Source organism: Homo sapiens, chromosome 5 (assembly GCF_000001405.40).
Source record: "Homo sapiens chromosome 5, GRCh38.p14 Primary Assembly".
Classification (NCBI taxonomy): domain Eukaryota; kingdom Metazoa; phylum Chordata; class Mammalia; order Primates; family Hominidae; genus Homo; species Homo sapiens.
Window position 1 is genome coordinate 90,741,454 of NC_000005.10, and position 19,216 is coordinate 90,760,669.

The 19,216-nt window shown below is 36.3% G+C and overlaps 1 protein-coding gene across 16 annotated transcripts in view; it reads left to right on the plus strand.

The window, feature by feature from the left end:
* The window catches only part of ADGRV1 (adhesion G protein-coupled receptor V1), a 605,641-nt gene that overhangs the window by 182,657 nt on the left and 403,768 nt on the right, over positions 1–19,216 (plus strand). For 14 of the 16 annotated variants that reach the window (NR_003149.2, XM_017009963.3, XM_017009969.3 and 11 more), the window contains 8 exons: positions 3,593–3,812; positions 4,138–4,342; positions 9,098–9,244; positions 12,121–12,376; positions 13,530–13,732; positions 15,001–15,177; positions 15,526–15,708; positions 17,956–18,135. Coding sequence is in view for 15 of the 16 variants with exons in the window: in XM_017009963.3 (XP_016865452.1) it covers positions 3,593–3,812; positions 4,138–4,342; positions 9,098–9,244; positions 12,121–12,376; positions 13,530–13,732; positions 15,001–15,177; positions 15,526–15,708; positions 17,956–18,135 (1,571 nt within the window). In the remaining variant the exon portion in view is untranslated. Of the gene's footprint in view, positions 1–3,592; positions 3,813–4,137; positions 4,343–9,097; positions 9,245–12,120; positions 12,377–13,529; positions 13,733–15,000; positions 15,178–15,525; positions 15,709–17,955; positions 18,136–19,216 lie in introns of those variants that run through there. The other 2 variants (XM_047417825.1, XM_017009974.3) reach the window with 2 other exon arrangements.

Consider the following 19,216-nt stretch of genomic DNA (forward strand, 5'->3'; position numbering starts at 1 on the left):
TTAATTTTTTGCCTTTATTATATTTGCTTTTCTTATTCCTCAAGTATTCAAGTGGACTAACTATGTCTCCTTGAGTCACTTATTATTATTCAAAATAGTTGCCTAATGAATGTTTTTAAAGATGATGAGTGCTGCCTGAAGGGCCATTAATTAAAGTTATAGAATTCTCTTTAAAGATTTAAAAAATATATAATAGGCATACTTTCTAAAAGAATTTGCAAAAAATTCTGCCAGAGACTTATTAAAGGACCCATTGTGAGGTCTCTTTATTTCTTTTGTTTCTGTGACTTGAGGCTGTAGAAGTATGAAAAGATTGTAGGTAATTATTTAGAATGGCTTATTATAGATCTCCTGAAAGCTGAAATTATGCATTAAATAATGTTCAAGGGCTTTCTTATTTTGAATGTGTCAAATATTTTATTAAAAGTATTAGATTGGAGCTATAACCATGAGGATCACATATTTATTCTGGTTAATGACTTGACAGAGATTATTGGGTGGTGACTGAATTCTTTAAATGGAAGAAGAAGAATGAATATGACAAAGACTACAAGGACATACAAACTTATCTTCGCTTTCACCCTTTTCTCCTTTAGTAGTTAATAGATATTTTTAAGTGCAATTATGTGCCAAGCACATTGATAGACCCTGGGGAAACAAGGGTAAGCAAAACTACATATAAACCCTGCGCTGAAGAAGTTTTACAAGTAGCAGGGAAGAGAGATATTATGTATAATCATACATATAAGTTTCTAGTTATAAATGGATAACTGCTATGAAAGGATAGAATACTTTCATACTACAAAATGAGAGGACTTGCCCTGGTCTAAGAGATGCCCAGAAAACTTACTTAAGGAAGAATCATTTAATTGAGAATTATATGTTGAGTAGGAGTTGAAGAGGCAGAGTTGATGATGGATCAGCTCTAGGCAAAGAGAGGTCAGGTGGTGGTGGTGAGCATGTGCTTTTAGGGAACTAGAAAGGGACCAATGTGGCCCAAATACAGACAGTAAGGGAACAGTGATACTGGGTTTAACTGAAGATGTAATCAGATAGGGACTTAAAGGATTATGGTCTTTATCCTAAAAGTATTGAGATGCCTTTCTTGAGGAGGTGATGGGGAGGTGGAGATAGAGAGATGGGCAGAGAGAAAGAGAGAGCATGTGTGTGTGTGCGCACGGGTGTGCATGCATGTGTGGCTGCCATGGAGGAAAAACTTAAATGTTAGAAGAGAAGATGTCTGAGAAAGAGCTGGAGGCGCATTCTTTAGAGATGTTGAAAGATGAAGCTTGGAAAGTGGTAGGTGATGCTGGTTAGAGAAGTAGATTGATTCAGATGATGTCTCACAAGTAAAACCACGGGGGTTGGTGATAGATTAGATACGGAGGGAGACAAGAAAGAGGATGTCAAAGATGAGCCCTAATTTCTGCAACTGGTGGGTGAATGGTAGTACTGTAACTTTTGTGGTGGTGATTGCTTGGGAGAGGACCAGGCTTTTAGGGGCAGAGAAAATGAGTTTGGTTGGAATATGTTAAGTTTGCCATTCACATGCAGAGTAAGCACTACTGATTATAGAGTTTAGAGGAGGGTCTTGGTTTGCTGATATACATTGGAAGTCCGTGAGTACAGAAGGTCATTTTACTACAGGCAGAGGTTATCTTGGTTGAGACTATTGAATCAGCTCATTTTAAACTTCAGAGATGTTGAGATGCCCCTGAATTAATTTTTTTACTCAGTGTCTCCAGTTTTATAAAACTTGATGAAAAATATATGGCCATTTAAAATGCAAATTTATTGATAGCCTTTTTATTGACTGCCTTAACTTTTTATGCAACGTTTGCTGAAGTGTGATAGTATTTAAGTCCATTACTATAAATAAGCACGAACAGTGGTTCTTGATATGTAAGAGTAAGGATATGGGGCTTTCCGTTGTAACCTATGGGCTAAAATTGTAGAAGAGGCTCATATGTTCTTATTCTTGGTGCTATTTTAATATCTAACCAATCTCATTTGATATCTTTTTTTTTTTTTTTTTTGAGATGGAGTCTTAATGTGTCGCCCAGGCTAGAGAGCAGTGGCACGATCTCGGCTCACTGCAAGCTTCGCCCCCTGGGTTCACGCCATTCTCCTGTCTCAGCCTCCCAAGTAGCTGGGACTACAGGTGCCCACCACCATGCCCGGCTAATTTTTTGTATTTTTAGTAGAAACAGGGTTTCACCATGTTAGCCAGGATGGTCTCGATCTCCCGACCTCGTGATCTTCCTGCCTCTGCCTCCCAAAGTGCTGGGATTACAGGCATGAGCCACCGTGCCCGGCCTCATTTGATATATTTATGTTCCAATGTGTTTATCTAGGTACTGGAATTTGTACATGTTTTTCTATGATTTCTCATTTTTTCTCCCAGTTTTATTTAAGTCTGGAAATTATTTAGTATTGTATATAATATAGTAAGCCCCCTTCCTTCTTAACTTGTGTAGATATAAATATGTCCTTTGGCTATTTTTTACTTCTTTTTTAGAAGCAACCCTATTAACTGATATATATATATACATATGGACAAGATCTAACTCTGTTGCCTAGGGTAGAGTGCAGTAGCATGATCATGGTTCATTGCAACCTTGACCTCCTGGGTTCAAACGATCCTGCCACCTCAGCTTCCCAGGCAGCTGGGACCGCAGGTGCTTGCCACCATGCCTGGCTAATTTTTGTTTTTTGTAAAGACAGGCTCCCACTATGTTGCCGGGTCTCGAACCCCTGGGCTCAAGCAATCTTCCTGCTTTGGCCTCCCAAAGTGCTAGGATTACAGATGTGAGCCACTGCACCCAGCCTTGCTTTGAACTATCAAAAGTATGGTTTCCTGATAACATTTCAAAAACATTGGAAGAATATACTTTAGGAGTCATAAATTTGTTCATATCCTTTGGCCTAATTAATTAACTTGAAGAATTTATCAAGTGAAGATAATTAACATGAATAATTCTGTCTCTACTTAATATTTAATAATTAAATATACAATAACAAATATCAAATGTAGGGAAATTATTAAATATATTTTGATCAACCATATATATTATCTATGCACTGAAATCATAGACTTGAAAACTGTGTAGAAACAGAAAACTGTAATAGTATGGACATGGTGTAATATTGTTAATTAAGAGTTTTTTGTATTTATACTGTTTATAACTGTGTCAATTATGAATTCATATGAATGATAACTAGAAAGGAAAATGAAGCATTTCATGATGGGATTATGAGTATGTTTCACTTTTTAAAATATCCTAATATGCTATCTAATAAATATTAAGATGAATATAAAAGAGTTTAAAATTAGTTTCGGTTTTAGCAGCCAGTAATTTCTTTTTTATTAAATGGGTATGGAAACCTCATCAAGCTGGCTTGATCATTCTAAAGCACTTAAAAAATTATTATTTACGTCCAGTTATTTCAGAAATTGAAGTATATTTAGTTACCTCAGAAATCACAATGGAACTTTGAGATTTTGGAAGATTTTGCTTTGGAACCGATGCAGGGAGTGTGGGAGGTGACAGTTTATATCTCACTCAAGTTGTTTTTTCTTTCCTTCCTGCAGCCCACATACTTCTTATTGGCCAAGATATGTCTGCTCTTTACTGCTGGAATTCGGAGCGTAATCAATTCTCTTTTGTTCTGGAAGTACCTTCTGCTTATGATGTGGCTTCTGTTACAGTAAAGTCCCTTAATTCAAGCAAGAATTTAATAGCTCTAGTGGGAGCTCATTCACATATATATGAGCTAGCCTACATTTCCAGCCATTCTGACTTTATTCCTAGGTAGGTTCAACATTTTTTGCTAAGTATCTTTATGTTCACTGTAATTTTGTATGACAGCTCATTTCCAAGTCATTATTTGGTGACTGAAAAATATACAAAATATAAGAGCTATTTATCAGCCTGAAATTTGGTTATTATCCATGTTTCTAATATCTATTCTATCAAGTTTATCAGTATTACATGAATATTTTGGATTAAAATTTTCGTTATGAAATGTTGTGATTCTTCCAAACCTTTAATATCAATTAATGTAATGAGTAGTCTACTATGTATATATCTTAAATTTGTTGTAGTTGACTTATTTTGTATATGCTTCTTATGGTAGTTCAGGTGAACTGATATTTGAACCTGGTGAGAGAGAAGCTACAATAGCAGTAAATATCCTTGATGATACAGTTCCAGAAAAAGAAGAATCCTTCAAAGTTCAACTTAAAAATCCCAAAGGAGGAGCAGAGATTGGCATTAATGATTCTGTAACAATAACCATTCTGTCTAATGATGATGCCTATGGAATTGTTGCATTTGCTCAGGTAATGATACTGAAGACCCCACACTTGCAATGCAAAATGTTTTATTTATTGTATTTGTGTATTAGCTATTATTAGCACTCAGCAAGTCATAGTTTGAGTGTCATCAGCCTCTCTCCCTTCCCTTTCCCCTGCCTCCCTTTTATGTGCATTCTAGGGTGAATTCTACTGACATTTTGCAATTTACAGTCTTACACACTGGACTCTGAGTCAACTTGTCCTAATCATTTTATTTTCAGATTCCTTTTATAGGATTGACTTTGAAATGTTACAAGTTGATCTTGGTCTGAAAGTTTGGCTCTGCTGTTAGCTGTTACCAGAGAGAAAGGATGAAATAGATGCTAAATGCAATATATACTGTGTGATATACACATCACATACAAATATATTACTATCCTATTATGCTTTGTTACTTCTGTGGAGAGGGGAAGAGAATGAGAGGTGGGGTGGGGGGAGGGTGGAGGAGAGAGAGAGGGTTGTAATTATATGTATGTTGGACATGTAGATGTCTTCCTGAGGAAAGAGAACCATGCAAATCCTAAGTTACTTCCGTGCCCAGATTTCATATTTCTTTATCAGCAAGCAAAAGGACATCTATTATTTGCATCATTTAGTCCTTTTGGTAAAGTGAATTCTTACTTCTTAATTTGAGTTATAGCTGCAGCTATCATGTATCTTTCTCTGAAATATTTTTCATATGAGGAAAACCTAACCCAAGTTTGCCTGCACACCAAGAGCATGTCCTCAGAGAAAGTGAGCTTCGGGGTTAGTTGGATACTCTACCATGTCATTTTGGCTTAGATTGTTTCCATCTCTCTACTTTGCCATCACAAAATTGACTTTCATTTGGTTGTTTGAAAGCTGATGTTATTGTTAAGGTTACTATGTTCTGCTCATGTTCATTTGGGGCAGAGAGAGATATTTTATGAGATTCTCAAAGTAAAGAAGACATTTCCCAAAAGACTCTAGAAAATGGCTTATGTCTCATTGTCCAGAACTGGGTAACAAGCCCACTCACTCATTCATTCATTAATTCATGCAGCAGTTATTTAACAAATGCCTGTTAGGTACCAGATACTGTTTCAGATGCTACAGTCATGTTAGAAAATAAGACGGTAAAATTCTTTATTTTCATGGTCCTTAAATTCTAGAGAGGGCAAGGGGAGAAAGGCAGTAAACACAGACATAAGAAAATATGTACTATATCTGATGGTGATGAGTGTACTATGAAGAAATGTTAGGCAAGGAAGGCAGATGGAGAATGCAAGGGAGGGAGTGGAGGTTGTATGTGGGGAAATCTAAAATAGGATGATCAGTAAGGGCTGTTTGGAGGAAATGACAGAATGACAAAGACTGGTGGGGGATGAGGGTGTGAGCTATGTAATATCTGGGGTAGGAACATTTAAAGCAGAAGGACCCATCAGCAAGAGCAAAGGCCCTGCAGTGTAGCCCTGCCCATCTGGAGCAACAAGGAGGCCACTGTGGCTGATGTCTGCATGTGATAGGGGATGAGGTTCAACAGGTGCAGGGCCAGGGCTCTGTGTCAGGGATCCCCATGACCACCCACAGTTTCGATGAGTCACTAAGAAGACTCGCAGGACCTAGCATTTAGTCATATCCATGGCTATGATTTATTACGGCAAAGAATACAAAATAAAATCATTGAAGGGAAAAAGCTCATGGGGTGTAAAGTCCAGAGGAAGCCAGGGCAAGCTTCTAAGATTCCCCCTCCCACCCCCATCCATTGACACAGGACACACTTAATTCCCCAGCATTGAGTTGTCACAAGATGTATAAAATGTTGCCAACCAGGGAAGCATACTAGGGACTCAGTGCCCAGGATTTTAACTGGGGTCTGATCATGCAGGCACCCTCTGCCTGGCACATACCAAAATTCTAGACTCTCAGAAAGAAATGAATGTTCAGCATAAACCACAATTATTACACAGTTTAGGCACTGGGAGCCACTTAATAGTTCCAGAATGGTGGGAACTCTCCTGAAATTCCAGTTCCCAGACACCAGCGGATAGCCGACCTGTGAACAAGCCTTTAAGGATAGCAGTCAGGTCTGCTGTGTGAACACTTTCCTGCATAAGCCCATTAGCATTGTAATGAGTTTGGGCCCTGAGGGAATTAGAGAGCCTTTGAAGGGGAGGAGTAGAAAAGTGAATGATCTGACTCACATTTTAGAAGGAACAACTCTGACCATAGTATAGAGAATAGATTGTAAATGGGCAAGGACAGAAATAGACCAGTTAGGAATTATTACAGTAATAAATGATGGAGCTATGGGAAGCATGAATTTGCTGCTCATTGAGATATGGATGACTATAGGAAGAGCAGGTTTAGGGGATAAGATGAGGAGTTTTGGATGTGCTTAAAGTCTTGTGTCTGTTGCATGCAAGGGTCAGAAGTTTACACTACTACTCAATCTGGTCCATTCCTGGAGCTAAGCGTAGTAGATCAGCTTCCTCTGAGGCATCTCTGCCCAATAGGGATATAATGTGTGCCTCATATGTAAATTTAAGTTTCCTAGCAGCCTACATTTTTTAAAAAGTAGAAAGAAGCAGGTCACTTGATTTTAATATATTTTATTTAACCCAATGTATCTGAAATATTTTTTCAACATACAATCAACATAAAATTATTGAGGAAATAGTTTACATTTTTCATATCTTGTCTTCAAATTTTAGTGCGCATTTTACACTTATAGACTAGCTACACTAACTACATTTCAACTGGTCAATAGCCACATGTGGCCAGTGGCTACTGTGAAGGAGAAGGCAACCCTAAGACATGAACTGGGTCTTGAGTAGGGAGAGTTAGAAAGAAACAAGAGGACCCTATTCTTATTAGGTACTCACTTGTTTCTTCACTTTCTTCAGATCTCTGCAAAATGATACCTTACCAGAAAGATCACTGATGGAAAATTGCAGCTCCCCACCATCATTCTGTATCTTTTTATCCTTATAAAAAGTTTCTTCATGACACTTATAATTGCCTAGTTTGTCTATCATCAAGTTTTTTTTTGTTTTTTTTTTAACTAGAATTGAAGAGTATGAGAGCTGGTATACTGCTGTGCTCACAGCTTTATCCCTGCACCCAGAAAAGTGCCTGGCACACATTAGGGGCTTAGGATGAACCTGTCATTCTGTGGGAGAGGCAGAACACTTACAAGGCCTTCTCAAGGCCTTATACAACTCTATAGGGCAGAGCTGGGCTTCCTGGGGTGAGAACCGACATGCTCTGCTGTGTGGTTCCATCTTCTCACCCTGCAGCCTTGCAGCAGATGGAGAGCACATGCTATTCCTCAACTGTTTGAGAATGGTAGATTTCCCTTTATGAAGCTTGTTCCAAAATTGTTCTGGAGACATACAATTACTGTTATTCAATACTTGCCAATAGATACTGAATTCTTTCAATCTGTTCAGTAGAATTCTTCATTACAGGTCTTTGATGTCTGGACAATCTCATTTCAAAATGAGATATAGCAGATAATGAGAATTTCTTGAATATTTTCTGGCTGCATGAAGTGCTCATTTTATTAACCCTCATTGATGGAGGGCATGGAGCCAGAGAGAGCTGGCTTTTTAAAAAGGCATTGTCTTTTGTGAATAAATTATGTGCATATTTTAAAATCAAGGCATTTTATTTAGGAATGTTTGATTGCCTGGAGCAAGATTTTATTACTATGTAACATCTGTAACAATGTGTTAAAATGCTGTGTAAAATATTGCTAAAGGATAGGATCGCTACTCAAATTAGCATTCTAAGTAAAAGCTCTCATAAGTTTTAAGAAATTAATGGGGGAATCTCTTTTCAGGTTATCATAGTGACCTGAATGGGAAGATTTTCAAAAATCTTTACACTCCATATTCTTGCTTTACTGCATATGGAAAATCCAGGGGTATTGTAAGAAGAGATTCTTTGAAGCATTCATTTTGAGGAACAGTTCATGAAATGGCTGACAAGAGACGTTGTGTATGTTTGGTGAAGAATGGTGTAGTCACACAGAAACAGATAATTAGTTTGGGACAAAAGAAAGAGGCTAGGAAGCATAGATAAGAAGAAAGAAAGTAAGTAATTCTATCATAAGGGAAAGGGATATTTCAGGCAGGAAAAAACAGTTGTAAAGGCCATGAGCTAAGGATGAAACACCATCAAAGGAGGCAGAAGAGCCCACAGAAACATTTCCGAGGATATGAATTTAAGAATAAGAGACATTTGCCAGTGATCAAGGAGAAAGCTCTAATTCTCATGACATCGTTGTGCATGGATGGGATGTTGGAAACCATATAGGTCAAGCTCTTCTTTTACAAATAGGAAACAAAGACCTAGTGGGATTGCCAGAAGTTACACAGAGGAAAAAGGCTTCCCTACTCTCCTGACTCTATATCCGTTCTCTTCTACAAACTTTTTACATGCTATGAATACTTTTACAAAAGTACACGCTTTCTGAGTATGAATGTAATATATGTTCACTGAACAAAATTTGAAAAATATAGAAACAGAAACATAAAATAATCCTAAAATAATTAACATTTTTGCTTACTTTCACTTAGTCTGTTACTTATTCAAACATGTGTGTTTTAAATCATGGTCATTCTATATGACTGTTTTTTAATTGTCGTTTTCACTTACTATGTCATGTTGCTTAGGACCACAAAGTTTGCAAATCCATAATAACATGAGACAAAAAAAGAAGTCTGATTAGGTAATTTCAGGGAACCCCTTGTGACTTTCTGTGTATTTTTTCAGAATTCATTATATAAGCAAGTGGAAGAAATGGAGCAAGATAGCCTAGTAACCTTGAACGTTGAACGCTTAAAAGGAACATATGGCCGTATAACCATAGCATGGGAAGCTGATGGAAGTATTAGTGATATATTTCCTACCTCAGGAGTGGTATGTAATTTACAAAGTTATAGGAAACACTTTTAAATTATGGTTACTAGTGATGTATGGGACCAAATCCTGCCTTATGGATGAAGTGTTTGAGTTTGACCATATCAACACTGAATTCCTACTAATCATTGTAGAGAGGGATACAATTTAAGGTTAGTTTTCTGGTTGTGGGTATTGTTCTTTTTTAAAAAAATATAAAACCAAAATTGTCCTTTAAAAAGTCATTCTTTCTGAGTTTCAGTACATTCGTTGGCCACATTGTGGGTGCATTACATTGTTAGAAAGATAAAATTAACCAAATAGGATCAAAATGTGGTTTCCAGGTTTAGGCACAATGGAAGTAGTAAGTAGGGAACAAGTCTGTGTAAAACAGTCGGACTTATGAAAAAGTAGATCTGAGTTGTGGAGTGATATAGGTTGGGCTTCCTGTAAATAGACTCTGAGATTGAGAGTTGTGGACAGAAGGATTTTGGGGAGATACATCTATGAGGATGTGAGGAAGGTGAGGATGTGCAGAGGGAGAAGTTGATCCACAGGCAATTGCAACTGAGGTTGATTGCAACTGAGTTCAGGAGATGAGCTGGTCCTTAGGAGTTGTTCCCAGTTTAGAGCTAAGCTATTGATATCCCCATTTTAGCAGTCCTTGGCTTTAGGCCACCCTCAGGGTTGGGTATAACCTTGAGTGAGACAGTTTGCTGTAGGAAAGGGTGATTCCCAATGAGGAGCACAGAACCTGTTGTTCCTAGCAGCCGAGGGATGGGTACATCAGCCCCAAGAAGGGATCTGGGCAGACGACGAGATTATCTATTACTGGAGAATAGTATAAAGTTGGAGCTGAGGTTCAAGAATGGAATAAGAATGAGCCAAATAAGTACATGATTAACAACAAGAGGGATCAGAGAGCCTTTTGTTCCTAGCTGGAAGATGGGTTGTCTTCTTGGCTTGCCTTTGGTTTCATAGATTAGTCTGTGTATATGGCCCAAATGCTTCTCTGAAGAGTTCTTTTAAAGGAACTCTCATGGAACTGTCTCAAAAAAAGGACAGGTATATATCATGGTTCATCATTTCTAGGTTTCTGTATTATTTCAAACGTGATTGGAGCTTCTGTATATTAAGAATGTTATAGCAAATTCTATTGCATTTAATATTTACTTTAGGTAAGCTACCAGAACTGTAAGTTGTGTCTGTCAGGTTCTATATGTTCTGATTTGTGTTTCTCCAGTTATCATTTCTTATATAAACATGATTACAATTATTTCTAATTTAAATATATAATGGTACCTTAAACATAGACTATAGTTTGGAAGAATTAATTATTTCATTCAGGGAGCTAGTATATCTTTTTTCTGTAAAGGGCCAGATAGTAAATATTTTAGGCTTTGTGAGCCATTTGGTCTCTTTCACTACTGCTTTGCCTTTGTAGTAGAATTGTGCTAGGCAATATAAGCAATATTAGCAGACAATATAGGCAGCGATAGACAATATGCAATTGAATGAGCTTGGTTGTGTTCCAGTAAAACTTGATTTGTGACAAATGGGTTTGGCCATTGGGCAGTAGTTTTCTGACCTCTGATTTTATTAATAAAGCTCTTGAATTTATTTTTTTAACTTTTATTTTAAGTTCAGGGGTACCTATGCAAGTTTGTTACATAGGTAAACTGGTGTCATGGGGTTTTGTTCTACAGATCATTTCATCATCCAGGTCTTAAGCCTAGTACCCATCAGTTATTTTTCCTGATCCTCTCCCTTCTTCCACCTTCCACCCTTGAATAAGCCCCAGTGTGTGTTGTTTCCCTCTATGCGTCCATGTGTTCTCAACATTTAGCTCCCACTTATAAGTGAGAACATGTGGTATTTGGTTTTCTGTTCCTGTGTTAGTTTGCTAAGGATAATGGCCTCCAGCTCCATCCATGTCCCTGCAAAAGACATGATCTCATTTTTCTTTTATGGCTGCATACCTAAAGAAAGAAATACCATTCAATACAGCAATCCCATTACTGGGTATATACTGAAAGTTATATAAATCATTCTATGATAAATACACATGCATATGTATGTTCATTGCAACACTCTTCGCAATAGCAAAGACATGGAATCAACCTAAATGTCCATCAATGATAGACTGAATAGAGCTTTTGAATTTATATTCTCCATTGCCTTTTCCAGGTGGAAAAACGAATGTCAGCAAAGGTAGATACATCAGCCTATAATGCTAGTTTGAGTAATTATAAATAGTTTGTAGCTGCATTGCTGGAGAGTGGTGTGTGAGGTGGGAATCAGTGAAAAATGGCATTCAAGAAGTCCTATCAGCAAGGTCTTCCATGCTTTTTAGCAAATTTGGATTTGACTCTTTAGACAGGAGAGACATAAAAGGAGAAGAGAGTTGCTATGATTTGTATCTCTCCCTATCTTTCTCTCTCCACCTGTGTTTTAGTTGATTCATTGCTTAGTGATACATCTGTTCAGAGTTAGTCAAAGGAAATAATCCGGGCAAAAGTTTTGCAGAGAAAAATCTTTAAGCTAGTATGCCACCTTATTTTACTTTTATGGATCTTTGTATATGGTATCTAGAACTTAGATTCCCAGAGAGACTGTATACTTTATCTTAGAATGGAATTCAGTCTCCAGTATTTGACAATTTGGCTGCATTTTTTTTTATTAGCTTAAAGTTTATAAATGGTTTGCTCTTCCTTTTTCCTAACAATCTTCCATTAATATGAAAGACATCTGATTTGTAGAATCATATTATTATGTTGCTTAAATATCTCTTGCTATTTAAGTTATAGGTTTAATAAAAGAAAATCAATTTTTAAAATATTCTTACTACATAGTGACAATTACAAAATAAATAACATCTTCTTTCTTTAAAATTCTAGATTTTATTTACTGAAGGCCAGGTACTGTCAACAATCACTCTAACTATTCTTGCTGATAATATACCAGAGTTATCAGAGGTTGTGATTGTAACCCTCACCCGTATCACCACAGAAGGGGTTGAGGACTCATACAAAGGTGCTACTATTGATCAGGACAGAAGCAAGTCTGTTATAACAACTTTGCCCAATGACTCACCTTTTGGCTTGGTGGGCTGGCGTGCTGCGTCTGTCTTCATTAGAGTAGCAGAGCCTAAAGGTAAATATTGTTAAATATCTTTCAAGTTTTAATGAGAAGCTTCATTGGATAATTTAATTCTAATATTTATAAGGAATGTAAATTTCTCTTTTTATATGACTTTTTCAGTTTGGCAGGTCATACTCAATCCTTTTTGTTTATTGTTGTTAAATCTGGTAATCATGTGAAATTACCTAGCAGTAATGTTATAGGAAATGTGTCTTTTAAAAGATACATTATATTAGAAATATTAATATTTTAGTTGTGAGTACAGTAGAGGTGACTGTTTTTTATTTTACTTTATCTTTTTCATCATTCATCTGTTCTCTTTCTTCACTCAGCTATATTTTCTATAGATTTTCACTAGTTACAGAGAACAATGAGCAACACAATGAAATGTGTACATGGCACTAAAGGTATTAATTGTTTAATCCAAAATAGTAATTAGAATAATTTTATCCTGTGAAGTGTACAGTGGTCAATTTCTCTTTTGAGTACTAAAATCATCACCCAAATAATTATTCATATTAGCTGCTGGTGAAGGTTCTAAGATTTTCACGTAATAACATGGACATCCAGCTTTCAAGTACCTTTCATTTGAATAGTCAATGGGAAAAATACAACATGTGGTTATGTTCCTGGGTCTTTAATATGGCAAATTAAGTTTTTAAAATCTAAACAATGAAATAAAAGTTAGGTGCTGTGAAATACTTTGAGCCTCCTGATAGGCACGTCACTGTAAGAACAAAATCACTCTTAATGATTAGTCATTAAATGACTTTGTATATATAATTTTTCATTTTTTGAAGAATCTTTTGAGCCTTTATAATTATCATCTCTGTTCAACCTGCATATCTGTACTTCCCTAAGACTTTGCAGCAATTTCTGTTAAAGTGTATGACATGTGCAACATAGGAGGGTGCTTTAGAGAATCAGAAGTGGGGGATTAGAACTGGGATATAATGCTAGGAGTGGATGGTGATTCTCTGCCCAACTTTGGGGACCAGGAAGACCAAGCCCAGAATGATCCTTGGGAGTATACATTGTCTTTGTTTTACTTCTTTTTCCTTAACTGTCTACAAGGGATAGAGTAGAGTGTTCCACTCTAGGTCCTTGTAACAGCATTGACAGCAAATAGAAAAGACTATTTACTCGTGGCATGTTTCTCTCACAGAAAACACCACCACTCTTCAGTTACAAATAGCTCGAGATAAAGGACTACTTGGGGATATTGCCATTCACTTGAGAGCTCAACCCAATTTCTTACTGCATGTCGATAATCAAGCTACTGAGAATGAAGATTATGTATTGCAAGAAACAATAATAATAATGAAAGAAAACATAAAAGAAGCTCATGCCGAAGTTTCCATTTTGCCGGTAAGTCAAGGCTGCAAAGAATGTGATCTAAAATAGAGGAAAATTCTCTTAAGTAAAATTGTGATGCTCTTGTAAGTAAAAATCTTTTTTTTAATAAAAGGATTCTTTTAAACATAAAAATGTAAGTATTCTACTGTTGCCACCCACCTAAGTATTTAATAATGAATAATATTTTATAACTGGCTGGCAAAAATGATGTCTATTACTTGTATTTATTCTTGAACTGGAATATTGTTTGAATGAATTTTGAAGCACTGAATTTAGATTAATTATATCTGATTGGATCCACTGTAATTTTGTTTTGTCAGTTTTTAAACTAATGACAACAAGTGAAATGCCCAAATCAATCTGGTTATTTTTATTATTCATTTAATAGGACAGTATTTTCCTTTCATGATATGATTACTTGAATCAAGATTAGTCTTCAGATGGTTTAGATCTGGTTTTAGCTATCTGTATTTATCCATGTATGTATGGAGAGAGAGAGAAGAACAGAGAAAGAGAGGGGGAGAATATGTGACTATATCAGTAATGATGCACAAGAAATTTTAATAGTGGATTAGTGTTAATAATATTATAAAATAATAACAAAATGTTGTTTTATATTATATAAATAGTATTAATCTTATATATTATATACCATAGAATATATTATATGTTATTAAATAAATATGATATTATATAATGTTAGTGTTACTAATAGTGGTATTAGTGGTTTTAGGTAATAGTATCTCCTGAAGAGTATAATTTGGGAAAGATATAAGGGATGGGATAGAAATGAGGGTTTTCCCCCCCTTTTTAGAGTATTTTTTATCTCTGGAAATTTTTCATTATGCAAAAACAAAGTAAGAAATTTTTAAAAATTAAATATAGGCTTATATCTAGATTTTCAAGTCTAGAGCTTTTGCTTTAAAAATGTATGTAGCATTTACCAGTGTTTCCTAAATTTTCTTTTGGGATATTAAATATGTAAAACATACAATAGAATATGGTCAAAATTTCAGGATAGATTTTTAAAAATTATTTTATTTGCTAATGAGTGTGAAGATTCCATTGAAACATCACCAGTGAGCTAGAATATTCTATAGATTCTGAAGTGGTCAGTGGGAATGTATTAAAATATAACAAGAATCTTTTTTATGTTTGACAGAGCTGCCCATTCCTGTGAACAAAGTCAATTATTTCCTTACTGAAAAATATCAAGTATTCAATGCAAGTTAAATGTCTTAAAAAAAAATGAAACACCATCTTTTTCCCCCATCCCCCAGGATGACCTTCCTGAATTGGAGGAAGGATTTATTGTCACTATCACTGAGGTGAACCTGGTGAACTCTGACTTCTCTACAGGACAGCCAAGTGTGCGGAGGCCCGGAATGGAAATAGCTGAGATAATGATAGAAGAAAATGACGATCCCAGAGGAATTTTTATGTTTCATGTTACTAGAGTGAGATGAACTTTCATTTGTTTACAGTCATACAGAGGCCTCTCCCTGCTGATTTGGCCAGTGTTTTATGTTTAGCTTTGCCTGTATTTATTTTTAAATAGATAAATAACCAAATTTGTCTTATAAACTAATTCTTAGGTCTCTTTGGGCTAGACCAAAGGATTCAACAAGTTTACTTTCATTAAATATAAGAGTTCAGAAGACCTTTTATGCATACTTATATCTGACTATTAATTTCTACTTTAAAGGGTGAAATATAGAAAGTTAAGTAGAAACAATAACTTTAGAAAGATGACTTATGAGAGTTACCATTTTATCTTGCCTTTCAATTATATTCTTTACTTAAAGGGCGCTGGGGAAGTTATTACTGCCTATGAGGTGCCTCCACCCTTGAACGTTCTTCAAGTTCCTGTAGTCCGGCTGGCTGGAAGCTTTGGGGCAGTAAATGTTTATTGGAAAGCATCACCAGACAGTGCTGGCCTGGAAGACTTTAAACCATCTCATGGGATTCTTGAATTTGCAGATAAACAGGTATGCCAGTCATTAACATATTAGCCTTTTTGAGTTGTGCTTCAGACATTTTGTAGGCATCCATCAAATGAATGTACATTGGTGATTGCTAAATGCATTATACTCTAAATGTTTCTATGTTAAGTCAAACAAATATTATTAATTGAAATACAATTTATTAATGGGCATAGGAAGAGACTTATAAAGATACAACAATCTTACCCTTTTCTGAACCCCCGCCCCAGTTTTATTTAAAATAAATAGAAGTTACAAAACAGGATAATAATTGACTTAGAAGTGCCTAACAATGTATAGAAAACTGTCTGATGAACTAGACTCTTCCTGTGGACTTTAGTTTCTTTTATCTTTTATTTTGTTTCTTAATGCCAGTAAATATAGATATTTATTTAGAATTTGCACTAAAAGTGTGGACAGTTTTTACTTAATATCTAAAATGCCCTTTATAATTAAAAAAATTGACTAAAATAAGAGAAAATGAACAAAATAGTTAAAACTTGAAAAATTGAAAAACAATATTCTAGATTTAGGCTAACCAGTCTTAAATATTATAAAACATTCCCCAAGAATTACAAATTTTGTAAACTTGGCATTTTGTAATATGTAAGAATAAGATGTTTTCATACCATTTTTTTATCAGTAAGTGGAAAAGGCATATGAACAACCATGAAAATGTTAGTAACTTTAACTAGCACCTCTATCTACAGGTAGCCTTATTTTGGCTAGACAAATTACCAGAGTATGCGTCAACTTATTTGTTGCTCATGGGGGGCGGTAGTAAATGCTGTTAAAAGGTAAGCATACAGATGTAGATTTTCCTACACAGAAAAACCCATTATTGTTAATATTTTTGAAATCCTGAGCTTTTAAAGCAGATTTAGAACTTGAAACATTTCCTAAGTAAAAAGAGTGGAATGCAATCCCAGCACTTTGGGAGGCCGAGGCGGGTGGATCACGAGGTCAGGAGATGGAGACCATCCTGGCTAACACAGTGAAACCCCGTCTGTACTAGAAATACAAAAAAATTAGCCGGGCGTGGTGGCGGGCACCTGTAGTCCCAGCTATTCCGGCGACTGAGGCAGGAGAATGGCGTGAACCTGGGAGGCGGAGCTTGCAGTGAGCCGAGATTGCACCACTGCACTCCAGCCTGGGCAACAAAGCGAGACTCCATCTCAAAAAAAACAAAAAACAAAAAACCGGAATGCAAGTCAATGAGATTCTTATGTTAAAAGCAGAAACAAATACATTGATTATTCATTGAAGCAGCCTTTCAACTTTAATGACATTATCAGCACTTTATCTGTGCATGAGGTTCAAGTTCCATCATTAACCAGCATCCATAGGATCCTACTTATTCTTAAAATTCACATCCTCTAGGGAAGGGACTCTGTATTCTACAGCACAGATTTGAGGTGCAGGCAATTTAATTACCTTCTATTTGAGCATTTGATTTTATTCATGTTTCTATCTGTCTGAGTGTGATATCCAGGTTTTTCACTTTTCTCTGTTGTTAAATTAAAGATTTTAGGTAGATTTAATTTCATTTTCTGATAAATGTCTGTCAGAAACATTGGAATATTTTTATGACCAATAGTGAAACTGCAAGCTGGATCAAGTTTTATTTATTTATCAGTTTATAAAAACTTTTAACATAGACTCAGAAAATTGAACTAAATCCTGATTATAAACATCCAGGAATAGCAAATTTGGGTTTTCTTTCTGCCTTTCTTTTTGACTACGTTGCAAGAACAATATTTGAAACCAATGGGATTTATTTTAATTGTAGAAGACTGGTAATTTTTATGTAAGTTTCATATCATGTAATATTAATACCAAGCATACTGCATTTTATGTTTGTGCAATGGTGTTAGAACCTGCATGACATTAAAAAAATTTTAAGAATAAGGATTTATTGTTTTTAATCTGTAAATAATACTCTTATCACATCAATAATGTTTTATCTTGAAAATAATAGACTGTAAATTTCTGACTTTGAAATACCATAAATATACACAACTTTAAAATGCCATAAATATACATGCCATAAATATACACAACTTTAAAAGTATTACAAATATAATACGCAAAAAGAACTACTTTTTAGTACCATGTTTCTGAGATTTTTGGTTTCAACTAAAAAATTAAAATATATGTCAGCAAAAACTGTGATTACATTATTTCTTTCCTCATTTCCTATCTTCCTCCTTCTTTTCCTCCCTCTCTTTCTCCCTTCCTTCCTTTCTTTCATAGGTTACTGCAATGATAGAAATCACCATAATTGATGATGCTGAATTTGAATTGACAGAGACGTTCAATATTTCCTTGATCAGTGTTGCTGGAGGTGGCAGACTTGGTGATGATGTTGTGGTAACTGTTGTTATTCCACAAAATGATTCTCCATTTGGAGTATTTGGATTTGAAGAAAAGACTGTAAGTTAAACATATCAGGGGAAAGCCTTGTTTCAGGCTAGCGTTTCATGTAATTTTGAGTAGAAAGTGTCTCACATTTTTGTTTTGGAAGTCTTGGCCAGGCATGGTGGCTCATGCCAGTAATCCCAGCACTTTGGGAGGCCGCAGCGGGCAGATCACGAGGTCAGGAGATTGACACCATCCTGGCCAATATGGTTGAATTCCCGTCTCTACTGAAAGTACAAAAATTAGCTGGGCGTGGTGGCACATGCCTGTATTCCCAGATACTTGGGAGGCTGAGGCAGGAGACTCGCTTGAACCCAGGAGGCAGAGGTTGCAGTGAGCTGAGATCACGCCATTGCACTCCAGCCTGGCGACATAGAGAGACTCCATCTCAAAAAAAAAAAAAAAAAAAAAAAAAAAAAGGCCGGGCGCAGTGGCTCATGCCTGTAATCCCAGCACTTTGGGAGGCCGAGGCGGGCGGATCACGAGGTCATGAGTTTGAGACCAGCTTGGCCAATATGGTGAAACCCCGTCTCTACTAAAAAAAATACAAAAATTAGCCAGGTGTGGTGGCGCATGCTTGTAGTCCCAGCTGCTTGAGAGCCTGAGGCAGGAGAATCACTTGAACCTGGGAGGCGGAGGTTGCAGTGAGCCGAGATCACGCCACTGCGCTCCAGCCTGGGCAACAGAGTGAGACTTCGTCTCAAAAAAAAAAAAAAAAAAGGAAAGAAAGTCTTCATTACCCTTCATGTATGAGTCTCTTCTCAAGGATCTTTTGAGTGGTCTATTGAATTAAGGGCCAATCCTCCAGCCTGTGCACACAGTTTGATAGTAATGTGAGCTCTTAATATCAGGAAATTACAAAGGGGAACAGATTCCTATTTATTGGCTGTAGTAGATCAAGATGTACTTTTCATCCATACCACCTATTCTCTGCCTGCTTTACTGCCAGACCACCAATCTGGTCACAGGCAGGATTCTGTCATGGGTCTGGGTGTTACATCCCACAATGGGTTTATCTGGTGAGGGATTTATATTACCCACTGTTATGCTAGTCTGTTGTGACTTATGTAGAAAAAAACACCACAGTCACCCCCCA